Genomic DNA, 22,804 nt, shown 5'->3' with positions numbered 1-22,804 from the left:
ACTGGCCTCCCTATCCCCCAGCTCCCTCCTTCCTTTTTTCTATCTCCTTAGCGATTGTTGTCTTCTCCAAAGGGTCTCCCCTTTCCAAACCCCAACATGATTCTGTTTTGCCTCCTGTTATGGACTGAATTCTGTCCTCTCCCAAATTCACATGCTGAAGCCCTAACCCCCAGTACCTCAGCATGTGAGTGTATTTGGAGACAGGGCCTTTGAAGAGGTGATTAAGGTTAAATGAGGTCATTAGGGTGGACCTTAATCTAATATTATAATTTACATATTATATATAATATATATTATAAATTATAAATTATATATCATATATTTTTATATAATATATAATATATACAATATATGATATATAATATATAGTATATAATATATAACAAATTATATATAATACATAAAATATATAATATTATATATCATATATTATATATAATAGTATATATATTTATATGATATATAATATATATGTATTATATAAATGTTATATATTTTATTATATATAATATATATGTAAATTATAATATATATTATATATTGTATAAATTATAATATATAATAAATATACCATATTAGATATATTGTAACTTATATATTATATAATTTATATATTATAATATATAAATTATATCTAATATGGTGTCCTCATAAGAAGAGGGGATTAGGACATATAGAGACAGATGGCAGGGCTGTGCACGTACAGAGGAAAGACCATGTGAGGACACAGTGAGAAGATGGCCAGCTATTACACAAGCCATGGAGAGAGGCCTCGGGAGACACCAACGTGGCCGACACCTTGATCTTGGACTTTTAGCCTCCAGAGCTGAGAAAATATTAATAAATTTCTGTTGGTTAAGTCACTTAGTCTGTGGAATCGTGTTGTGGCAATCTTCAACTAATACACCTCCTAATAAAATACTTGTTTCTAAAGGGGGAGTTGTTGCATGTTGAGGTTTTTACTGTGCACCTCTGTCTGGGGTGAATGCTGGCAAACTGCAGGAAGACTGCGCCATAAACCCTATCATGGTTTGGCTTCTTCCTTGACCCACTCAGAAAAAGTTCAGTTCTTCTGAAAAACTCACGAGTACTCCACAAGGTGGCACATATCACCCTCCACACCATCCTCATCTCGAGGTCTCTGTAGTACACCTGAGACCAAGGGGGGAGCTCGTGTACATTCTGGTCTTTGTCAACAGTGACTCCCAACCACACCCTTATTCTTTCAAAATATATTTTATTAGCGGCACATGGAATGTCAAGTTAAGCAAATTCTTTCCAGAGAGAAGGTGAGCCTGACAGACTAAAACGTTGAGCACGGATGATACAGCAGAAATAACATTTCCAGTGTAATGAGAGATAAAGAGGAATACTGCCCACCGAGGAAATGACTTTCTTCACCATGCTGACCACACTGCACAGCGCCCGATCCGGCTGGTGAGGATGGGGAGGTGGGAAGAATCTCAAAGCACTGGACAGGGTGAGGACTCAGGAAGTCACGGGGTCAGCCCTACAGCATCAGCTCCTCTCTGTTGTTGGAGAGGCCCTGAGCCCCATTACTCACTATACGAGGACCAGAGTGTCTTTGGCAGGTGGAGGCTGGCTCACGGGAGAACACCAAGTGAGGGGGCTCCTCTGTGAACCCAAGAAACTTCAAGGAACCCCACAGCGTCTCCCTTATGACCTCCCATCTCCAGATTAGGAAGCTATGGATTCCCAGAGGGTCCTTTGGAAGTATCTAGAAATGTCCAGGTAAGTCAGAGAAGGGCTGAACTTTCTTAGAAAAATCACTTTAGTCTCTCATACATGAAGAACATTTTCCTTAAAGGATTCTGGTTCTTTTCCCTGATGTTCTTGTGCAACGTTCTGAGGGTCACCTGGGCTTCGCCCACCACTGCTTCTACTGCTGCTGTGTCACTTTCAAACAGCTCCACCTCCACCGGCCCCTCCCTTCCCACCTTCCAGCCCACAGTGTCTGCAGGCTGTGGGTCTCCCACATCTGTCATGTCAGGATCATGCTGCTGCTTTCTTTCTTTTTTCCCTTTTCTTTTTTTTTTTTTTTTTGATACAGGGCCTGGCTCTGTTGCCCAGGCTGGAGTGCAGTGGAGTAATCATGGCTCACCTCAGCTTTGACCTCCTGGGCTCAAGTAATCCTCCTAATACGGGCATTTCTCTCATCGCTTCAGAACCCGCCCCACAACCAAACATTCAGATGCTTATTAAGGCAACAAAACAAGTGACAGACGGGACAATTTTTCCAATTCTAGATCTAATTGATTAGGCTATGTCTCATGAGGAGACTGTACTTGACCTCTAAGCTAGCATCTGGAATACAATCTTCCAGCGGCTTAGGGAAGGTCGGTGATAGTAGTATCGTCAGGATCAATTCCGAAGTGCAGCTTGCCGTCCTTGGCGGCTGCCCAGGGCATGGAGGTGGAGGTCCACTTTGCCACCCAGTCTCCTGTTTTGCTAACCACGATGAGGCCACCTAAACCTTTAACCCTTGACTTCATATAACCCAACGATAGGTCCGCAGCCTCTTCTACCGTCTTTCCTGAAAACAAGGAAGGGTTGAGAAACAACACACATTACTGAAAGGAATCTCATGGGAAAATCACTTGCCATTTGAAATGCCAAAGTGAGCTAGCAAGGATTTTTGGTAAATGAACGCCTGAATGCTTAAAAGGAGGGTCCTCACCTCCTTGCCCTGAGACAGCGCCCTAGCATCAGCCTGAGCAGAGGGGTCTTCCCTCCCACATCCAGGCTCAATGTCTCTCTACTGCCCCCTTCTCCTGAGATGTGGAAGATAACAGTACTCAATGCTCTACCATTCCAGACCTAAGGGAAGGCGGAGAGTCAAAACAAGGTGTTAACGGCCTGAAAGCAACATCTGTAGCCAACAGGAAAGGGTTTCCTACACTTCTCCATGCGCTTACTTATCAAATACCTTCTATGCACTTATCTTCACAAATTATTTTACTTGTCCTGTGGTCTGTGTACCTTGTTCTATGTGGAACAGGGTGAGTCTAGCCAGGTTCACCTTCAGGATGCTTTCCCCATGCCCTGTGGTTGAGACGGCTCCGATGTCATTGTCGGCATAACCTCCAGCTCCTGCTCAAAAAGGGTGATTGTTCTGAGCAGTAACAGTCAAGAAATTCAAATCCATATTAGAAGTCGGACGCTACATGAAAGTTAAATCGCGAAGGGTGCTCAAGTACCGACAAAGGTCAGGTTAGTAGCCATGATCTGCGGAGGCAAAGGTGGACTAGAAAGCGTCATGTAGATGCCCCAGAATTTAGGAGGATAAAGGGAGCCTCAGAGGGGCAGGCCTGACCTTTCACAGAGCAGCTACAGCAGGACAGCATCTCCTTGGCCCCAAAGCACAGCCATTCCTTTTTGCTCAATGAAGCCACCCTCTCCCTGTCTCCTCCTCATGCCCCACACACTATGGAGGAAGAAACAGCATGACTGCATTATATGGATCTCTAGCAAGGCCATCATGTTCCAGTGATTTGGGGAAAATGATACCCACAACCTAACATCCATGCACACTGTCTAATGGAGGGCAGTTATATTTGTTGAGGGTGGGCATAATTGGACCTGAGGGAACTATTCTGGGCTATCCACTTAAGTGGGGGTCTGGAGTGAAAGCTACTTTGATAAGATTTCTTCCTTATTTTGGGCTTGGATTAAGCAACCTTACAGCCTTCTCTGAGTCATTCTTGTATCTGTTCACACACAGCTACCAGCCTCAGAGTCCTTTAGCCTTGGAAGGATTCGCCTTTACCCTCCCACAGTTGATACAGAAGCACAGAAGATTGACATTTGCCTTACTTATTGATGCTGGACATGGGGCAAGGACTCAGGAGTTGAGATGCTGCATTGGATTGTCACAAGGCCCCAGAGGTTCTCAAAGGCAGATAATCCCTGGCTCTGGTTCTGGAGGGAGCTGACACTGGACAGCCAATGAACTGCTGCAGTGGGAGGAGGCGCCTTTACTTTTTCTTATAAGCTTCTGCTGGGGAATTAACTGACCGGGTTCCATGGTGTCAAAGTGCCCTAATATTTGGAAGCAGCCAAGTCTTTGCTTACTTTTCAGTTACTCTAGGACCACAGAAGGCCAGGTGTCTCCAAGGGTGGTCCTGGCACAGGCATCGGGCGTGTGAAGCTGTCCTCCCCGCCACATGCACTTCTCAGGACAAGTGCATTGCCTGAGGTGACCACTGCTGAGCCTAGTACCGTCCCCCATGACTGTCCAGGCAGGGGCCTGGCCAGTGGCAGTGCTCCTTGGGGAGGCTCCTCAGAAGGCCAGGCAGAGCACACCTGGTGCTCACAGCTGGACAGAGAGTTCTGAGAATTTAGCTTATGCCTTTTCTTGTCAAGATTTACCACTGTAACTCAAGCTTAAAATTAATTTCTAGGATCTAACCTGGAGTGGCCCTGTGGCCTGGTCTGAACGCAGCTGAAGCAAGCTGCACTACTGACCAGGCACAGTTTGGTGGGATTTTTGCCAAGGAGAAAGAAAGGTAGACTACTTCACATCTCTTGGGTGATATACCAAGGAGAAGAGGAGTTACCAAGCCTCTACTCTTTTTAAGGAAGCTTCCAGTGTCTCTGAGTTCATGACAGAAAAAGGGTATCAAGAATTGTCGAGAGTGTAGATTATTACTAAAGACTAGAGCAACACATTAAAAAGGGAAGGTAGGGCTAGTTTTCCTCTAAAAGAATAAGCTGCTCTTTAGGGCAGATGGAACAATTTAGCTGCTTCTCAAAACTTCAGTCACCTGTGGGGGTTCATGAGGATTCCTGCATGACAAGTGTGAAAGTCTGCACGGAGTGAAACATACAGCCCCCCAGCCCTGCCTCTCACCCACTCCTGGGAATGAGATGGCGTGCTTCCCCGTTAATGTAAACAACATCTCAATCTATAATGTGTCTGTAGAAGTATGTCACTTTCATGCTGCTCAGATCTAACAACTGCAGTCTCAGATTTCTCAGATTGCTAATCAGAGCCCATGTCTCGGGAGTAAGTCTTACTCAAGTAAGTCTGCAGATCCTGAAACTGTGGCTAAAGAGAAGACAGAATCACGACAGGGTAGACTGGGGGCAACGTTAGCATCCCTGTCTCCACTTCTCTCCCCAAGTTGTTCCAAAAAGGCATGCAATCTAGTAAAAACAGTGGCGCCAGATACAAACACCCTCTCAAGGCAGCACCCCGAACAACCCCTTCCAACCCCATTGTCACTCCCAGACATCCTGGAGCTGCACCAAAAGCAGAAAGGGAACGCAGCAAGAAACGGAGAGGGGCAGGGAATAGAGAGTGAGGAAAGCCTGAGGGCGGGAGAAGAGGGGAAGGGGCAGGAGGCATCCCTTGGTCCTACCTAGACACGGTGAGTCCCCAACGCGGCCGACCATTTTATTAACGATACCGCCTGTGGAGGTTGCGTAGGCTACATTCCCTTTGCAGTCCAAGGCAACAGCACCCACGGTTCCCAAGTTTCTGCCAAAAATAAACAGAAAAAAAGTGACAGGCTGAAAATGAGAATGAACACCATAACCAACAATGTACCTTAAAACCACTTAAAGTTTCATGTTATATGTTGATGGGGCACCCATTTAATTCCAACATTCTAGAAAGAACCTGCTGCTTCTCATTCTACGTGTAAGTTACAGGTGGATTGCTGGACACTCCTCCACACCTCAGCTTTAAGAGTACATCCAATCCCAACACCACCGTTTTCTAGCTGTGATGCTAAGTTTTATTTTGTGTCTCTTTGTCCCCATCATAAAATGGGGATAAAAGTAAGAGTGCTTCTCAAACTTTAGTGTGTATAAGAATTCCTGGGGTGCTTGGGCCCACAGAGACTCTGAAGCTGCCACCAAGAGGAGAAAGGAAAGGAAAAAGTGACTTGGTAGATACAGGCTGGGACCCAAAATCCTGCTTTTTTTTTTTTTTTTTTTTTGAGATGAAGTCTCACTTTGTCGCCCAGGCTGCAGTGCAGTGGCACAATCTTGGCTCACGGCAACCTCTGCCTCCCGGGTTCAAGTGATTCTCCTGCCTCAGCCTCCCAAGTAGCTGGGACTACAGGCATGCACCACCACACCTGGGTAATTTTTATATTTTTAGTAGAGACAGGGTTTCATCATCATCTTGGCCAGGCTGGTCTCAAACCTCTGAGCTCAGGTGATACGCCTGCCTTGGACTCCCAAAGTGCTGGGGTTACAGGCGTGAGCCACTGTGCCTGGCTGATCCTGCGTTTCTGACAACCTCCCGGGTGTCGCTGATGCTGCCTGCCTATGGACCCTGTGCATGGGGTTGTCGTAAAGATCAAATCCGTTAATTTTCCCCTAACATTTTATTATGAATTCTCGAATACAGTCATGTGCCACCTATGATGTTTTGATCAACAGACTGCATATAGGATGGTGGTCCCATGAGATTATAATCCTCTATTTTTACTGTACTTCTATGTTTAGATACACAAGTACTTACCATTGTGTGACAACTGCCTAGAGGATTCAGGACAGTCACATGCTGCACAGGTGTGTAGCGTAGCAGCAACAGGCCGGACCACATAGCCTAGATGTGTATTAGTCTCTCCTATCTGGGTTTGTGTGAGTGCACCCCTATGATGTTTGCATGGCCATGAAATTGCCCAACTATGCATTTCTCAGGATGCATTTCTTGTCCTGTCATGAGACGCGTGACTGTAACACAGTTGAACAAATTGTACACGAACACCCCAGCATACCCACCAGCAAGGTTCTATAATGAATTATATTTGAGGCATTGTTTTAAGTGCTGGGACACAGTGGTAAAGCTAAACAAAGTCCTTTCTCCCATGGAGCCTGCATTTGGGGTAGAGGGTGGTAGTAACAGGGCAATAATATGTCAGGTGACAAAAACAAAACAAAAAAACAAAAAACCCAAACAAAAAAACAAAGAAGCACCAGGGAAGAGTGATGGTGGGGAGGTGCTGTTTTACACAGAGTGTCTCTGCAGGACAGAGGGGCAATCATGCCATCCCAGCTGCTGGGGAGGAGCGTTCCTGATGCACAAACATGCCTGCCATGTGCATGGAATTTGAAGGAGGCCAGTGTGGCTGGAGAGAATAAAATGAGGGAGAGCGTGGTAGGAGAATGATCAGAGGGACAGCCAAGTCCAGATCACGATATCTCTTGACAAGTGGGGTGACCATACACACTAGTTACCCAGGCCAGTTCAAATGTATGCCTGCTGTCATGGCTTAATTATTAATAGTACCACTTTTACTCTCAAAATTAAGTTTCAGTTTAAACACTAAAGAATATAATCATCCTACCTTTAGGCCATTGCAAAGGCTTTTATTCTGAGTTAAATGGGAGGACGCTGGGCAGTTTGAGTTAGGAAGTGACACAACCTGAGTTCAATCTTAAAAATAATCATTCTTGGCCAGGCGCTGTGGCTCACACCTGTAATTCCAGCACTTTGGGAGGCCGAGGCAGGCTGATCACCTGAGGTCAGCAGTTTGAGACTAGCCTGGTCAACATGGTGAAACTCTGTCTCTACTAAAAATACAAAAAAAAAAAAAAATTAGCTAAGTGTGGTGGCGTGTGTCTGTAATCCCAGCTATTTGGGAGGCTGAGGCAGAAGAATCGCTTGAACCCAGGAGGTGGAGGCTGCAGTGAGCTGAGATTGTGCCATTGCACTCCAGCCTGGGTGACAGAGTGAGACTCCATCTCAGAAAAAAAAAAAAAAATCATTCTTTCCACTCCACCTGCCCTCCAGTAGAATGGCTAAAATGAAGAGGCACATCAAACCTGGCAAGGATGTGCAGGAAGTGGAACTCTCATTCAGTACTGCTGTTAGTGTCAATTGTACCAACATCTTTGGAAAAGCATTTCACAGTATCTACTGAAACTGATGATATGCACATTCCATGACTCAGCAATTATACACCTGTGTATCTGTCCATCAGAAATATGGACAGGTGTTTACCATAAGCGCATTCTCAAGTGTTCACAGCAGCAGTAGGTGTAAAACAGTAGTCCCCCCTTATTTGCAGGGGATACGTTCCAAGACCCTCAGTGGATGCCTGAAACCTCAGCTAGCGCTGACCTCTATAAACACTATCTTTCCCCCTATACATATCTATATATGTACATATATATGTACATATCTATGATATGTATGATATGTACATATCTATGATAAAGTTTAATTGATAAATTAGGCACAGTAAGAGATTAACAATAATAAAATAATACAATTATAACAATATACTATAGTAAAAGTTATGTGAATGTGGTCTCTTTCTCAAAACATCAGACCGCAGTTGAGTGTGGGTAACTGAAAGCACAGAAAGTGAAACCGCAGATAAGGGGAGCTACTGTAACCCTAAACTGGTTACAGTCTCAAACTCCTGACCTCAAGTAATCCACCTGCCAGAAAAAATTTAAAATCTTTTTTTATTTTACTTTTATTTATTTTTGAGATGGAGTCTCACTCTGTTGCCCAGGTTGGAGGGCAGTGGCGTGATATTGGCTCACTGCAACCTCTGCCTCATGGGTTCAAGCTATTCTCCTGCCTAAGCCTCCCGAGTACCTGGGACTACAGGCGTGTGTCACCATGCCCAGCTAATTTTTGTATTTTTAGTAGAGATGGGGTTTCACTATGTTGGCCAGGCTGGTCTCGAACTCCTGACCTTGTGATCCACCCACCTCAGCCTCCCAAAGTGCAGGAATTACAGGCGTAAGCCACTGCACCCGGCCTATTTTATTTCATTTTTGAGATGGAGTTTTGCTCTTGTTGCCCATGCTGGAGTGCAATGGCGTGATCTTGGCTCACTGCAATCTCCACCTACTGGGTACAAGTGATTCTCCTGCCTCAGACTCCCAAGTAGCTGGGATTACAGGCATGCACCACCATGCCCGACTAATTTTGTATTTTTAGTAGAGACGGGGTTTCACCATGTTGGTCAGGCTGGTCTCAAACTCCTGGGCTCAAGTGATCCACCCGCCTCAGCCACCCAAGCTGCTGGGATTACAGGCGTGAGGCACCACGCCTGGCCCTAAAATCTTTTATGTGGCAAAAATACCATAGCAAAAGCAAAATAAAAACAGCAGATTTGGGATTTTTTAAAATTTTATTTACAGCAGAACATAACCTTAAGGCTCATAAGAGCCAGGTACAGTGGCTTGTGCCTGTAGTTCCTGCTACTCAAGAGGAAGAGGTAGGAGGATCACTTGAGCCCAGGAGCTCAAGGCCAGCCTGAGCAACATAGAGAAATCCCATCTATCTATAAAGAACGTTAAAAATGTAAAAGAAAAAACAATGAGACTGATAAGAAAGGGAAAAAATAATTCAAAGGAAAAAATGAGTGTAGGACAAAACTAGGCAAATTTGTAAAAAGGAAAAACCCATAAACAAATGTAAAATGCTCAAACTCACTGTCAGGGAAAGGGAAGAGCAAATTAAAGTAACAGTGTTACCCTTTACCTGTTAGATAAGGAAGGAGGGTTCTCCCAGTCCCTGCTGGTGGCAGGCCCACCTCTAACATTTGCAAGGGGCCATGGCAACAATACAAATACAACTGGAGGCCCACATACCATATATTTAATATTGGGAAGTTATAAGTATGTTCTATCCTGTTACTGTGGTAAATGTATCTTGAAAAATCGGTATTTTTCTTGTATATATGTTTCACTGTATATAAGGTGAACTTTTTTTTTTTTTTTGAGACAGTCTTGCTCTGTGGCGCAGGCTGGAGTGCAGTCGTGTGATCTCGGCTCACTGCAACTTCCATCTCCCAGGTTCAAGTGATTCTCCTGCCTCAGCCTCCTGAGTAGCTGGGATTATGGGCATGCACCACCACTCCCGGCTAATTTTTTGTCTTTCAGTAGAGACGGGGTTTCACCATGTTGGCCCCAGGGTGGTCTTCAACTCCTGAGCTCGGGCAGTCTGCCTGTCTTGGCCTCCCAAAGTTCTAGGATTACAGGCATAAGCCACCACACCCAGCCATGAATGTTTTGATATACATAGTGAAATTATGATTACAGTCAACTAGAATAACATACCTATCATCTCACAATTACCTTTCTTTATTTTTTTGTGGTAAGAGTACCTAAAATCTACTTTTTAAATTTTTTTGAGATGGAGTCTTGCTCTTTTGCCCAAGCTGAAATGCAGTGGCGCCATCTCAGCTCACAGCAGCCTCTGCCTCCCGGGTTTAAGGAATTCTCTGCTTCAGCCTCCCAAACAGCTGAGATTACAGGCGTGTACCACCACACCCAGCTAATTTTTCTGTATTCTTAGTAGAGATGAAGTTTCACCATCTTGGCCAGGCTGGTCTTGAACTCCTGACCTCATGATCTGCCTGCCTTGGCCTCCCAAAGTGCTGGGATTAAAGGTGTGAGCCACTGCGCCCGGACTTTTTTTTGTTTTTGAGACGGAGTCTTGCACTGTTGCCCAGGCTGGAGTGCAGGGGTGTGATCTTGGCTCACTGCAAGCTGACAAACTACCAATGATGACTTAACTTAGTTATTATTGTGCATACCAGGGTCATTTGTTAATCGGCTGGTGATGGCAGATGAATGGCAAACACACACACACACACACGCACACACGTGCACACACACACATGCACACACACAGATGCATTTAATAAGTTATGTATTTATTCCATTAAAATATTTTTTCTTGGCTTCATTCCAGGGAGTACTGATTTTTTTTTTTTTTTTGAGACCAACTCTTGCCCTGTCGCCCAGGCTGGAGTGCAGTGGTGTGATTTCGGCTCACTGCAACTGGGTTCTAGCAGTTCTCCTGCCTCAGCCTCCTGAGAAGCTGGGACTACAGGTGCACACTGCCAAGCCTGGCTAATTTTTTGTATTTTTTAGTAGAGATGGGGTTTCACCATGTTGCCCAGGCTGGTCATGAACTCCTGAGCTCAGGCAGTCCACCCACCTTGGCCTCCCAAAGTGCTGGGATTACAGGCGTGAGCCACCAAGCCTGGCCTGATGATGTTCTTTTTTTTTTTTTTTTTTTTTTTTTTGAGTAGGAGTCTCGCTCTGTCGCCCAGGCTGGAGTGCAGTGGCGGGATCTCGGCTCACTGCAAGCTCCGCCTCCTGGGTTCACGCCATTCTCCTGCCTCAGCCTCCCGAGTAGCTGGGACTACAGGCGCCCGCCACTACGCCCGGCTAATTTTTTGTATTGTTAGTAGAGACGGGGTTTCACCGTTTTAGCCGGGATGGTCTCGATCTCCTGACCTCGTGATCCGCCCGCCTCGGCCTCCCAAAGTGCTGGGATTACATGCGTGAGCCACCGCGCCCGGCCCCTGATGATGTTCTTATACTTAACGTGACTTCTATTGACAAAATGGCAAAAGACAAGCTTTCTTGAGTCAACATAGTTTTTAGCAAGTTTTTAATTTATTTTAATTTGGAGAAGCTTCCTTCTGCTGAAGCAGCAGCAACTGGAATTACCAACAAAATTCTCAAAGCAGTACTTAGATTTAGAAATGAATACTGATTTTTACATTATCACACTCAAATACTATATGGATTTGTGGGGAAACGAAAGAGATCAGGCTGTTACTGTGTCTATGTAGAAAGAAGTAGACATAAGAGACTCTATTTTGTTCTGTACTAAGAAAAATTCTTCTGCCTTGAGATGCTGTTAATCTGTAACCCTACCCCAACCCTGTGTCGCAGAGACGTGCTGTGTTGACTCAAGGTTTAATGGATTTAGGGCTATGCAGGCTGTGCTTTGTTAAAAAAGTGCTTGAAGGCAGTATGCTTGTTAAAAGTCATTACCATTCTCTAATTTCAAGTACCCAGGGACACAATACACTGCGGAAGGCTGCAGGGACCTCTGCCTAGGAAAGCCAGGTATTGTCCAAGGTTTCTCCCCATGTGATAGCCTGAGATATGGCCTTGTGGGAAGGGAAAGACCTGACCGTCCCCCAGCCCGACACTGTCCCCCAGCCCGACACCCCACCCGTAAAGGGTCTGTGCTGAGGAGCATTAGTAAAAGAGGAAGGCCTCTTTGCAGTTGTGATAAGAGGAAGGCATCTGTCTCCTGCTTGTCCCTGGGCAATAGAATGTCTGGGTTTAAAACCCGATTGTATGTTCTATTTACTGAGATAGGAGAAAACAGCCTTAGGGCTGGAGGTGAGAGGTGCTAGCGACAATACTGCTCTTTAATGTTTGTATACATGCACATCAAGGCATAGCACCTTTCCTTATTTATGACACAGAGACATTTGTTCACATGTTTTCCTGCTGACCCTCTCCTCTCTATTAACTTATTGTCCTGCCACATCCCCCTCTCCAGATGGTAGAGATAATGATCAGTAAATACTGAGGGAACTCAGAGACTGTTGCCGGTGGGGGTCCTCCGTATGCTGAGCACCGGTCCCCTGGGCCCACTTTTTTTTCTCTATACGTTGTCTCTGTCTCTCCTGCCTCAGCCTCCTGAGTAGCTGGGACTACAGGCACCCGCCACTGGGCCCGGCTAATTTTTTGTATTTTTAGTAGAGATGGGGTTTCACCCTGTTAGCCAGGATGGTCTCGATCTCCTGACCTCGTGATCCACCGGCCTCGGCCTCCCAAAGTGCGGGGATTACAGGCGTGACCCACCGCACCCAGCCTCTTATTTCTTTTCTCAGTCTCTCGTCCCACCTGATGAGAAACGCCCACAGGTGTAGAGGGGCTGGCCACCCCTTCATCTGGTGCCCAACGTGGGTGCTTTTCTCTAGGGTGAAGGTGAGCTAGAGCGTGGTCATTGAGAACAAGTTGATGAGAGATTCCCGAGTACGTCTACAGTCAGTCTTGTGGTAAGCTTGTGCCCTCGGAAGAACCTAGGGTAACAATGGGGCAAACTGAAAGTAAATATGCCTCTTATCTCAGCTTTATTAAAATTCTTTTAAAAAGGGGGGAGTTAGAGTCTCTACAAAAAAATCTAATCACGCTATTTCAAACAGTAGAACAATTCTGCCCATGGTTTCTAGAACAGGGAACTTTAGATCTAAAAGATTGGGAAAAAATTGGCAAAGAATTAAAACAAGCAAGTAGGAAGGGTAAAATCATCCCACTTACCGTATGGAATGATTGGGCCATTATTAAAGCAGCTAATTTAGAACTGTTTCAAACAGGAGAAGATAGCGTTTCAGTTGCTGATGCCCCTGAAAGCTGTGTAATAGATTGTGAAGAATAGGCAGGGATAGAATCCCAGAAAGGAATGGAAAGTTCAAAAGTTCACATTGTAAATATGTAGCAGAGTCTGTAATGGCTCGGTCAATGCAAAATGTTGACTACAATCAATTACAGGAGGTAATATATCCTGAAGCATTAGAATTAGAAGAAAAAGGTCCAGAATTAGCGGGGCCATCAGAGTCTAAACCATGATGGCCAACTCCTCTTCCAGCGGTTCAGATGCCTGTAACATTACAACCTCAAATGCAGGTTAGACAAGTACAAACCCCAAGAGAATATCAAATAGAGAGTCTCTGTCATGGCAACGCCAATCCAAATACAGTATCCACAATATCAGCCGGTAGAAAATAAGACCCAACCGCCAGTAGCCTATCAATACTGGCCGCCAGCCGAACTTCAGTATCGGCCGCCCCCAGAAAATCAGTATGGACAGCCAGGAGTGTTTCCAGCACCACAGGGCAGGGCGCTATAGCCTCAGCCGCCCACTATAAGACTTTATCCTACAGCACCACCTAGTGGACAAGGTAGTGCATTACATAAAATTATTGATAAGGCAAGGAAACAAGGAGATATTGAGGCGTGGCAATTCCCAGTACCGATGCCACCTGGAGAAGGGGCCCAAGAAGGAGCGCCTACCCTAGTTGGGGCCAGATATGAGTCCTTTTCTATAAAAATGTTAAAAGATATGAAAGAGGGAGTAAAACAGTATGGACCCAACTCCCCTTATATGAGAACATTATTAGGTTCCACTGCTCATGGACATAGACTCATTCCTTATGATTGGGAGATTTTGGCCAAATCATCACTCTCACTGTCTCAATTTTTACAATTTAAGAGTTGGTGGATTGATGGGGCACAAGAACAGGTCTGAAGTAATAGGGCTGCCAATCCTCCAGTTAACATAGATGCAGATCAACTATTAGGAAAAGGTCAAAATTGGAGCACTACTAATCAACAAGCAATAATGCAAAATGAGGCCATTGAGCAAGTTAGAGCTATCTGCCTTAGGGCCTGGGAAAAAAATCCAAGACCCAGGAACCACCTGCCCCTCATTCAATACAATAAGACAAGGCTCTAAAAAGCCCTACCCTGATTTTGTGGCAAGGCTCCGAGATGCTGCTCAAAAGTCAATTACCGATGAAAATGCCCGTAAGGTCATAGTGGAGTTGATGGCATATGGAAACGCCAATCCTGAGTGTCAATCAGCCACTAAGCCATTAAAAGGGAAGGTTCCCACAGGATCAGATGTAATCTCAGAGTACGTAAAAGCCTATGATGGAATTGGAGGAGCTATGCATAAAACTATGCTTATGGCTCAAGCAATAATGGGAGTTGCTTTAGGAGGACAAGTTAGAACATTTGGGGGAAAATGTTATAATTGTGGTCAAATTGGTCATCTAAAAAAGAATTGCCCAGCCTCAAAAAAACAAAATATAACTATTCAAGCTACTACAACAACAACAGATAAAGAGCCACCCGACTTATGTCCAAGATGTAAAAAAGAAAAACACTATTAGAATTCTATCAAATTCTAAATTTGATAGAAATGGGCAACTATTGTCAGGAAACAGCAAAGGGGCCAGCCTCAGGCCCTGCAACAAACTGGGGCATTCCCAGTTCAGCCCTTTGTTCCTCAGGGTTTTCAGGGACAACAACCCCCACTGTCACAAGTGCCTCAGGGAATGAGCCAGTTACCACAATACAACAATTGTCCCCTGCCACAAGCGGCAGTGTAGCAGTAGATTTATGTACTATACAAGCAGTCTCTCTGCTTTCAGGGGAGCCCCCACAAAAAATTCCCACAGGGGTATATGGCCCCCTGCCTGAGGGGACTGTAGGACTAATCTTAGGAAGATCAAGTCTAAATCTAAAGGGAGTTCAAATTCATACTGGTGTGGTTGATTCAGACTACAAAGGTGAAATTCAATTGGTTATTAGCTCCTCAATTCCTTGCAGTGCCAGTCCAGGAGACAGGATTGCTCAGTTGTTACTCCTGCCTTATATTAAGGTTGGAAACAGTGAGATAAATAGAAAGGAGGGTTTGGAAGCACTGATCCGGCAGGAAAGGCTGCATATTGGGCAAGTCAGTTCTCAGAGAGCAGACCTGTGTGTAAGGCCATTATTCAAGGAAAACAGTTTGAAGGGTTGGTAGACACTGGAGCAGATGTCTCTATCATTGCTTTAAACCAGTGGCCAAAAAATTGGCCTAAATGAAAGGCTGTTACAGGACTTGTCGGCGTAGGCACTCCTCAGAAGTGTATCAAAGTACTATTACATTGTTTAGGGCCGGATAATCAAGAAAGTACTGTTCAACCAATGATTACTTCAATGATTACTTCAACCAATGATTACTTCATCTGTGGGGTTGAGATTTATTACAACAATGGGGTGCAGAAATCACTATGCCTGCTCCATTATACAGCCTCAGGAGTCAAAAAATCATGACTAATATGGGATATATACCAGGAAAGGGACTAGGAAAAAATGAAAATGGCATTAAAGTTCCACTTGAGACTGAGAGAAATCAAGAAAGAAAAGGAATAGGGTATCCTTTTTAGGGGTGGCCACTGTAGAGCCTCCTAAACCCATTCCATTAACTTGGAAAACAGAAAAACCGGTATGGGTAAATCAGTGGCCGCTACCAAAACAAAAACTGGAGGCTTTACATTTATTAGCAAAGGAACAATTAGAAAAGGGACATATTGAGCCTTCGTTCTCGCCTTGGAATTCTCCTGTGTTTGTAATTCAAAAAAAATCCGGCAGATGGCATAAGTTAACTGACTTAAGAGCCGTAAATGCCGTAATTCAACCCATGGGGCCTCTCCAACCCGGGTTGCCCTCTCTGGCCATGATCCCAAAAGACTGGCCTTTAATTATAATTGATCTGAAGGACTGCTTTTTTACCATCCCTCTGGCGGAGCAGGATTATGAAAAATTTGCCTTTACTATACCAGCCATAAATAATAAAGAACCAGCCACCAGATTTCAGTGGAAAGTGTTACCTCAGGGAATGCTTAATAGTCCAACTATTTGTCAAGCTCTTCAACCAGTTAGAGACAAGTTTTCAGACTGTTATATCATTCACTATGTTGATGATATTTTATGTGCTGCAGAAATGAGAGACAAATTAATTAACTGTTATACATTTCTGCAAGCAGAGGTTGCCAATGCTGGACTGGCAATAGCATCTGATAAGATTCAAACCTCTACTCCTTTTCATTACTTAGGGATGCAAATAGAATATAGAAAAATTAAGCTACAAAAAATAGAAATAAGAAAAGACACATTAAAAACATTAAATGACTTTCAAAAATTGCTAGGAGATATTAATTGGATTCGGCCAACTCTAGGCATTCCTACTTATGTCACGTCAAATTTGTTCTCTATCTTAAGAGGAGACCCAGATTTAAATAGTAAAAGAATATTCACTCCAGAGGCAACAAAAAAAATTAAATTAGTGGAAGAAAAAATTCAACCAGCACAAATAAATAGAATAGATCCCTTAGCCCCACTCCAACTTTTGATTTTTGCTACTGCACATTCTCCAGCAGGCATCAATGTTCAAAATACTGATCTTGTGGAGTGGTCATTCCTTCCTCACAGTACAATTAAGACTTTTACATTGTACTTGGATCAAATAGTTACATTAATTGGTCAGGCAAAATTACGAATAATAAAATTGTGTGGAAATGACCCAGACAAAATAGTTGTTCCTTTAAACAAGGAACGAGTTAGACAAGCCTTTATCAATTCTGGTGCATGGCAGATTGGTCTTACTGATTTTGTGGGAATTACTGATAATCATTACCCCAAAACAAAAATCGTCCAGTTCTTAAAATTGACTACTTGGATTTTACCTAAAATTACGAGACATGAACCTTTAGAAAATGCTCTGACGGTGTTTACTGATGGTTCCAGCAATGGAAAGGCAGCTTACATAGGGCCAAAAGAGCAAGTAATCAAAACTCATTATCAATCGGCTCAAAGAGCTGAGTTGGTTGCAGTCTTTACAGTGTTACAAGATTTTAATCAACCTATTAATATTGTATCAGATTCTGCATATGTAGTACAGGCTACAAGGGATGTTGAGACAGCTCTAATTAAATATAGCATGGATGATCAGTTAAACCAGCTGTTCAATTTATTACAACAAACTGTAAGAAACAGAAATTTCCCATTTTACATTACTCATATTTGGGCACACACTAATTTACCAGGGCCTTTAACTAAAGCAAATGAACAAGCTGACTTACTGGTACCATCTGCATTCATAAAAGCACAAGAACTTCATGCTTTGACTCATATAAATGCAGCAGGATTAAAAAACAAATTTGACGTCACATGGAAACAGGCAAAAAATATTGTACAACATTGCACCCAGTGTCAAGTCCTACACCTGCCCACTCAAGAGGCAGGAGTTAATCCCAGAGGTCTATGTCCTAATGTGTTATGGCAAATGGATGTCACGCATGTACCTTCATTTGGAAGATTATCATATGTTCATGTAACAGTTGATACTTATTCACATTTCATATGGGCAGCTTGCCAAACAGGAGAAAGTACTTCCCATGTTAAAAAACATTTATTGTCTTGTTTTGCTGTAATGGGAGTTCCAGAAAAAATCAAAACTGACAATGGACCAGGATATTGTAGTAAAGCTTTCCAAAAATTCTTAAATCCGTGGAAAATTACACATACAACAGGAATTCCCTATAATTCCCAAGGACAGGCCATAGTTGAAAGAACTAATAGACCACTCAAAACTCAATTAGTTAAACAAAACGAAGGGGGAGACAGTAAGGAGTGTACCACTCCTCAGATGCAACTTAATCTAGCACTCTATACTTTAAATTTTTTAAACATTTATAGAAATCAGACTACTACTTCTGCAGAACATCTTACTGGTAAAAAGAACAGCCCACATGAAGGAAAACTGATTTGGTGGAAAGACAACAAAAATAAGACATGGGAAATAGGGAAGGTGGTAACGTGGGGGAAAGGTTTTGCTTGTTTCACTAGGAGAAAATCAGCTTCCTGTTTGGATACCCACTAGACATTTAACGTTCTGCAATGAACCCATCGGAGATGCAAAAAAAAGCGCCTCCGCGGAGACAGAAACACTGCAATCGAGCACCATCAACTCATATGATGAACAGAATGGTGATGTCAGAAGAACAGACGAAGTTGCCATCCACCAAGAAAGCGGAGCCACTGACTTGGGCACAATTAAAGAAGCTGGCACAGTTAGCTAAAAAAAAAAAAAAGCCTTGAGAACACAAAGGTGACACAAACTCCAGAGAGTAGGCTGCTTGTAGCTTTTTTTTTTTTTTTTTTTTTTTTTGAGATGGAGTCTTGCTCCGTCACCAGGCTGGAGTGCAGTGGTGCGATCTCAGCTCATGGCAACCTCCACTTCCCAGGTTCAAGCAATTCTCCTGTCTCAGCCTCCTGAGTAGCTGGGATTACAGGCGCGTGCCACCACGCCCAGCTAATTTTTCTATTTTTAGTAGAGACGGGGTTTCACCATGTTGGTCAGGCTGGTCTTGATCTCGTGATCCACCCGCCTCGGCCTCCCAAAGTGCTGGGATTACAGGCATGAGCCACCATGCCTGGCCGCTTGCAGCTTTGATGATTGTATCAATGGTGGTAAGTCTCCCCATGCCTGCAGGAGCAGCTGCAGCTAATTATACCACTGGGCCTATGTGGCTTTCCCGCCCTTAATTTGGGCAGTCACATGGATGGATAATCCTACTGAAATATATGTTAATAATAGTGTATGGGTACCTGGCCCCACAGATGATCGTTGCCCTGCCAAACCTGAGGAAGAAGGAATGATGACAAATATTTCCACTGGGTATCGTTATCCTCCTACTTGCCTAGGGAGAGCACCAGGATGTTTATTTTTTATTTTTATTTTTTCAGTAGATAATGATGTCGTTTATTTAAAATGTTTACTCCAAGAAATATATATATATATATATATATATATATATATATATATATATATATATATATAAAGTAAGACAATTACAGCACTAAACCAGGCACCTTCAACCAAATCACAACCTCCTCTTTGATTCCCCTTCACACTAAGCCTCTTTCAAATTCTTTTTCCTGAGCTAGAAGACCAGTCAGATGCTCGCAGGGATGTGCCAAGCACGTTCCCAGCCGGGCAACTGTGTACCTTTCTCTAGGAGTGCACGGCACCCTTCCCCCACAACTCTTTGTTTTAAAGGATTTAACCCATTAGGAAGCCCATTTTTCAATCTAAGCCAGAAGGAGGTGCGGGACAAGGCAGTCTTCACTTTGAAGATCCCTTTCCTGCTCCAGTCCCTGGGCTAGGGTTCTAGAAGAGGCTGGCTGCCGGGTTTACATGAGGCCACCGAAGATCTAAGTCCAGCTCTGCCCAGGGCGGCTCCTGCAAAGGCTGGGACCTCAGGTGCTGCGTCCTCAACCCTCTCGGTGACCACGACTCAAAGGAGAGACCTCAAGGGTTCCAGGAGCACAGGTGCCTGGGCTGCGTTCCAGGAGAGACCTGTCCAGGGAAATGGATCAGGCTGTCGCATGGAAGCTTGAGTCAGAGATGGTGGTTTTGGGGTGATTTGGACAAATTAGGTTAGTTTAGCAAACTCTGAAGTGGCAGAAGCTTCTTCCCTGGACTACTGACTGAACACAGATCAAGAGATGCGCGTGGCGTCAGACTAAGTCTTAGAGAGATGCAGGCCAGTCTCTTCCCACAGGGCCTTGGGACTGGCTGGACAGACACTGCTACATGCCCTCCAAGGGCAGGAGTCATGGTAAGGAGCGACTGGGGTGGAAAATAGGGAAAAAAGTAACAACAACTAGATCATTTTTGGCATTTTAACATGGAGACAGTGACAAGTGGTAACAATAGCTAAAGAAAAAACTTGAAGAGACCAATATTTAACTTTCCCATCCACCCAAATCTCACACTTAAGTTTCTAGTCCCATCTCCCCCATAAGCACCACTGAACTAAATATCTATTTTAAAGCACCCAAACCAGTCCAGACCCTCTGGAAACCAAGAGCCCCAGCCCCAGCTGTTGCCTCTCTTGGGTCCAGGCAAGAGGAGGGTTCCGGGAAAGGCACCTCATAACTCACTCAGTGCAGTGCACACAGCGGCTAGCTTGGGCACGGGCACTTGACGGGGACACGGGTGGCAGTCACGGCATCCGTGCTGACATGTGAGGAAGGGGACTCTTTGGTAATCCCAACTATTTGGTACTAGAGCCAAGCAAACGTGACTAAAGGGAGCTGGGTCAGCAGAACGGTACCCCGAGTCTCAGCAACAGGATGGCCCGCACGAGGCAGGATCCAGGCAGGGGAGAAAAGGAGACCAAAGTACAAGGCGATCGAGGCTGGTACAGAAAGGGCTGATCCTTCTTGCAAGGACTGGAGAATGCATTTGACTGCTGGCTGATCAATCTCTAATTGGCGAGTGCGTGTGACAAGGCTCAGCCCTGGCTCCGCAGGGAGCCATGAAGCTGACTCAACTGATACAAATGTTCCCACCTTTGCTCCACCCCCAAGTCCCCATGGTTCCATAATCACCTGATTTTCATTTGGACTTCTTTAACAGCTAAAGTAGATATAAGTGGCTAAACACAGATCCCCAATCCCCCACCAGGGGGGACACAGCTGATTCTATAATGTTGCAGCCAGAAGGCTGTGGGTGTACAGGCAGCCAAGAGGAGAAACAGAACTGACACCGGCCTAGGCCGATCTGCAAGAAAAAGCGGGAAAGGAGTGACCCGGATGCTTCCGAAGCACGCGAGCATGATTTTGGATGGAGGTGGGCCGGCGACTTCGCCTAGCTGCTGCCGGTTCCTGTAAGGGACATTTTTTCTGAGTAAATGGCGATTCCTCTTCCATGTAGCATCCACTTAGATCACGATGCTAATTATAACTGGAAAGGAGTGTTTTGGGGAGTGTATTCAGGAGAGGAAGAAAGAAAAAAAAAACACCTAGATTGCTCAAAGTTTCTGCCTCTTTGTAGGAATGGTAAGTCAACTACGAGCAAGTATTTTAATTCGACATTAAGAGGAAAAAAGGGTCTTTGGAAAGCAAACAGAAAAAAAGGTAGTTAACGTTGGATCACTTGTAAAACGGAACCTCAGGGAGTCTAAATAAAAATGCACCTTCGGTCCACTTTTGCTTTTTTAAATTCCTTGTTTGACTTCCCGTCCCAGTGCACATGGAAATGACAGCTGCCATGAGAGGTGTGGAGTCGGAGGAGTCTCTGGGAGCATCAGAGGGTTTGGGGGCTGTATTCTGGCAGTTTCTTGATCTTTTCTTTCTCAGTTTCACTTTCATCTCTTGCTATCACCAAGGAGTGTGAGTAGCCCATGGCGACCGGCTCTGAGAAAATGCCATGCAGAGTCTTCACCTCCTGGGCTGCAGTGGAAGACTTGGGCTTGTGATCCCTGTAGCCCAGTTCCCCAAAGGTCGGTGATGGGCCCCAGCTGATGGTGCTCTCATCGGCTGCCACAATGATGCTGCTCTTCCCACAAGCCAGGCTCCAGATTCTCCAGCTGCAGAGGTCCTGCACTGCTTTTGGGTACATGGTAGATTCATGGGAGGTGTTGGTGGCCCCCCAGAAAAACAGACCACCCACTTCACTGACGGCAAAGGAGCAGGTGTAACCAGCATAGATCTGGGAAGCCCCATGCCCAGGGAAGTCAAATAGCTTCACCAGGCGGGGGACCATCTCATCCTTCTGCTCTGTGTAGCCCAGCCAGCCATAGCCACTGAAGCCCCAGGAGAAGACTCACTTCTGGGAGTCCAGGACCAGCATGTGGTTAGCGCCACAGGCCACGTCTCGCATAACCATATTTGGTACAGGCAGAATCTGTCTTTTGTCTTCTCAATGAAGATGGCCACTCGCTGGGGAACTAGTTTGCAGTCATACTCTATCTGCTGTGCCCGGGCAATGAACTTCCCATCTGAGTTGTGTCCCAGCTGACCATATTCAGGGCACCCAAAGGAATAGAGGTTTCCTTTGCAGTCCATTATCATACTGATTTGCAGCCTCACAGGCCATTTTGGTAATTGGCAGGCTGTTGTACATTATCTGCACAGGGCTGGGGACAGCGTCTGTCTAGTTGCCAAGGCCCAGCTGCCCCATCTTGTTTTCCCCAAACGCAAACACGGAGCCCGTTTCCGTCAAGGCCAAGGTGTGGTTCCGCGCACACGCTGCACACAATCACTTCGTGGCTGAGACCCTCGGTGAGTCTGGGGGCTTCTACTCTCTTGGTGTCACCATGTCCCAGCTGCGCCTTCTCATTTCGACCCCAGCTCCACAGCTTTCCTTCTGTGGTGATGAGGAGGCTGTGTGCAGCACAGGAGCCAGAGACCACTGTCCGCACCCGGACCCCCGCCAGGCACCCATACCTATGGGGTCCCCACAAATTCTGACGGATATTGCCGTACGCAGCTTCCTGTTTAGGAACTTTTTTTTTTTTTTTTTTTTTGAGACGGAGTCTTGCTCTGTTGCCCAGGCTAGAGTGCAGTGGCGCGATCTCGGCCCACTGCAAGCTCCGCCTCCCGGGTTCACGCCATTCTCCTGCCTCAGCCTCCTGATTAGCTGGGACTACAG

At 45.0% G+C, this 22,804-nt stretch overlaps 1 protein-coding gene and 1 pseudogene across 6 annotated transcripts in view, besides 2 other annotated features; both read right to left on the bottom strand.

Annotated features, from left to right (window-relative positions):
* The window catches only part of ASRGL1 (asparaginase and isoaspartyl peptidase 1), a 63,984-nt gene that overhangs the window by 6,799 nt on the left and 34,381 nt on the right, over positions 1-22,804 (bottom strand). For 2 of the 6 annotated variants that reach the window (NM_001083926.2, NM_025080.4), the window contains exons 5-7: positions 5,382-5,500; positions 3,001-3,111; positions 1,221-2,554 (exon numbers count right to left, since the gene is read on the bottom strand). In NM_001083926.2, the coding sequence (NP_001077395.1) occupies positions 2,349-2,554; positions 3,001-3,111; positions 5,382-5,500 (436 nt within the window). In that variant the 3' untranslated portion in view covers positions 1,221-2,348. Of the gene's footprint in view, positions 1-1,220; positions 2,555-2,999; positions 3,134-5,381; positions 5,501-11,384; positions 12,837-22,804 lie in introns of those variants that run through there. The other 4 variants (NM_001441217.1, NM_001441216.1, XM_047427631.1 and 1 more) reach the window with 3 other exon arrangements.
* Positions 11,357-11,922: an enhancer, noted in NCBI's record as "NANOG-H3K27ac-H3K4me1 hESC enhancer chr11:62150183-62150748 (GRCh37/hg19 assembly coordinates)". NCBI's record gives its function as "activates a minimal SCP1, AML or CMV promoter by ChIP-STARR-seq in naive and primed H9 embryonic stem cells {active_cell/tissue: H9 hESC(naive and primed)}" and the evidence as "EXISTENCE:reporter gene assay evidence [ECO:0000049][PMID:30033119]".
* Positions 11,923-12,488: an enhancer, noted in NCBI's record as "NANOG-H3K27ac-H3K4me1 hESC enhancer chr11:62149617-62150182 (GRCh37/hg19 assembly coordinates)". NCBI's record gives its function as "activates a minimal SCP1, AML or CMV promoter by ChIP-STARR-seq in primed H9 embryonic stem cells {active_cell/tissue: H9 hESC(primed)}" and the evidence as "EXISTENCE:reporter gene assay evidence [ECO:0000049][PMID:30033119]".
* Positions 21,261-22,665, bottom strand: RCC2P6 (regulator of chromosome condensation 2 pseudogene 6; annotated as a pseudogene).

This window comes from Homo sapiens, chromosome 11 (assembly GCF_000001405.40).
Source record: "Homo sapiens chromosome 11, GRCh38.p14 Primary Assembly".
NCBI classification, from domain to species: Eukaryota; Metazoa; Chordata; class Mammalia; order Primates; family Hominidae; genus Homo; species Homo sapiens.
Note: the sequence above shows the minus strand (reverse complement) of the source record. Positions and strands in the feature narration are given on the sequence as shown.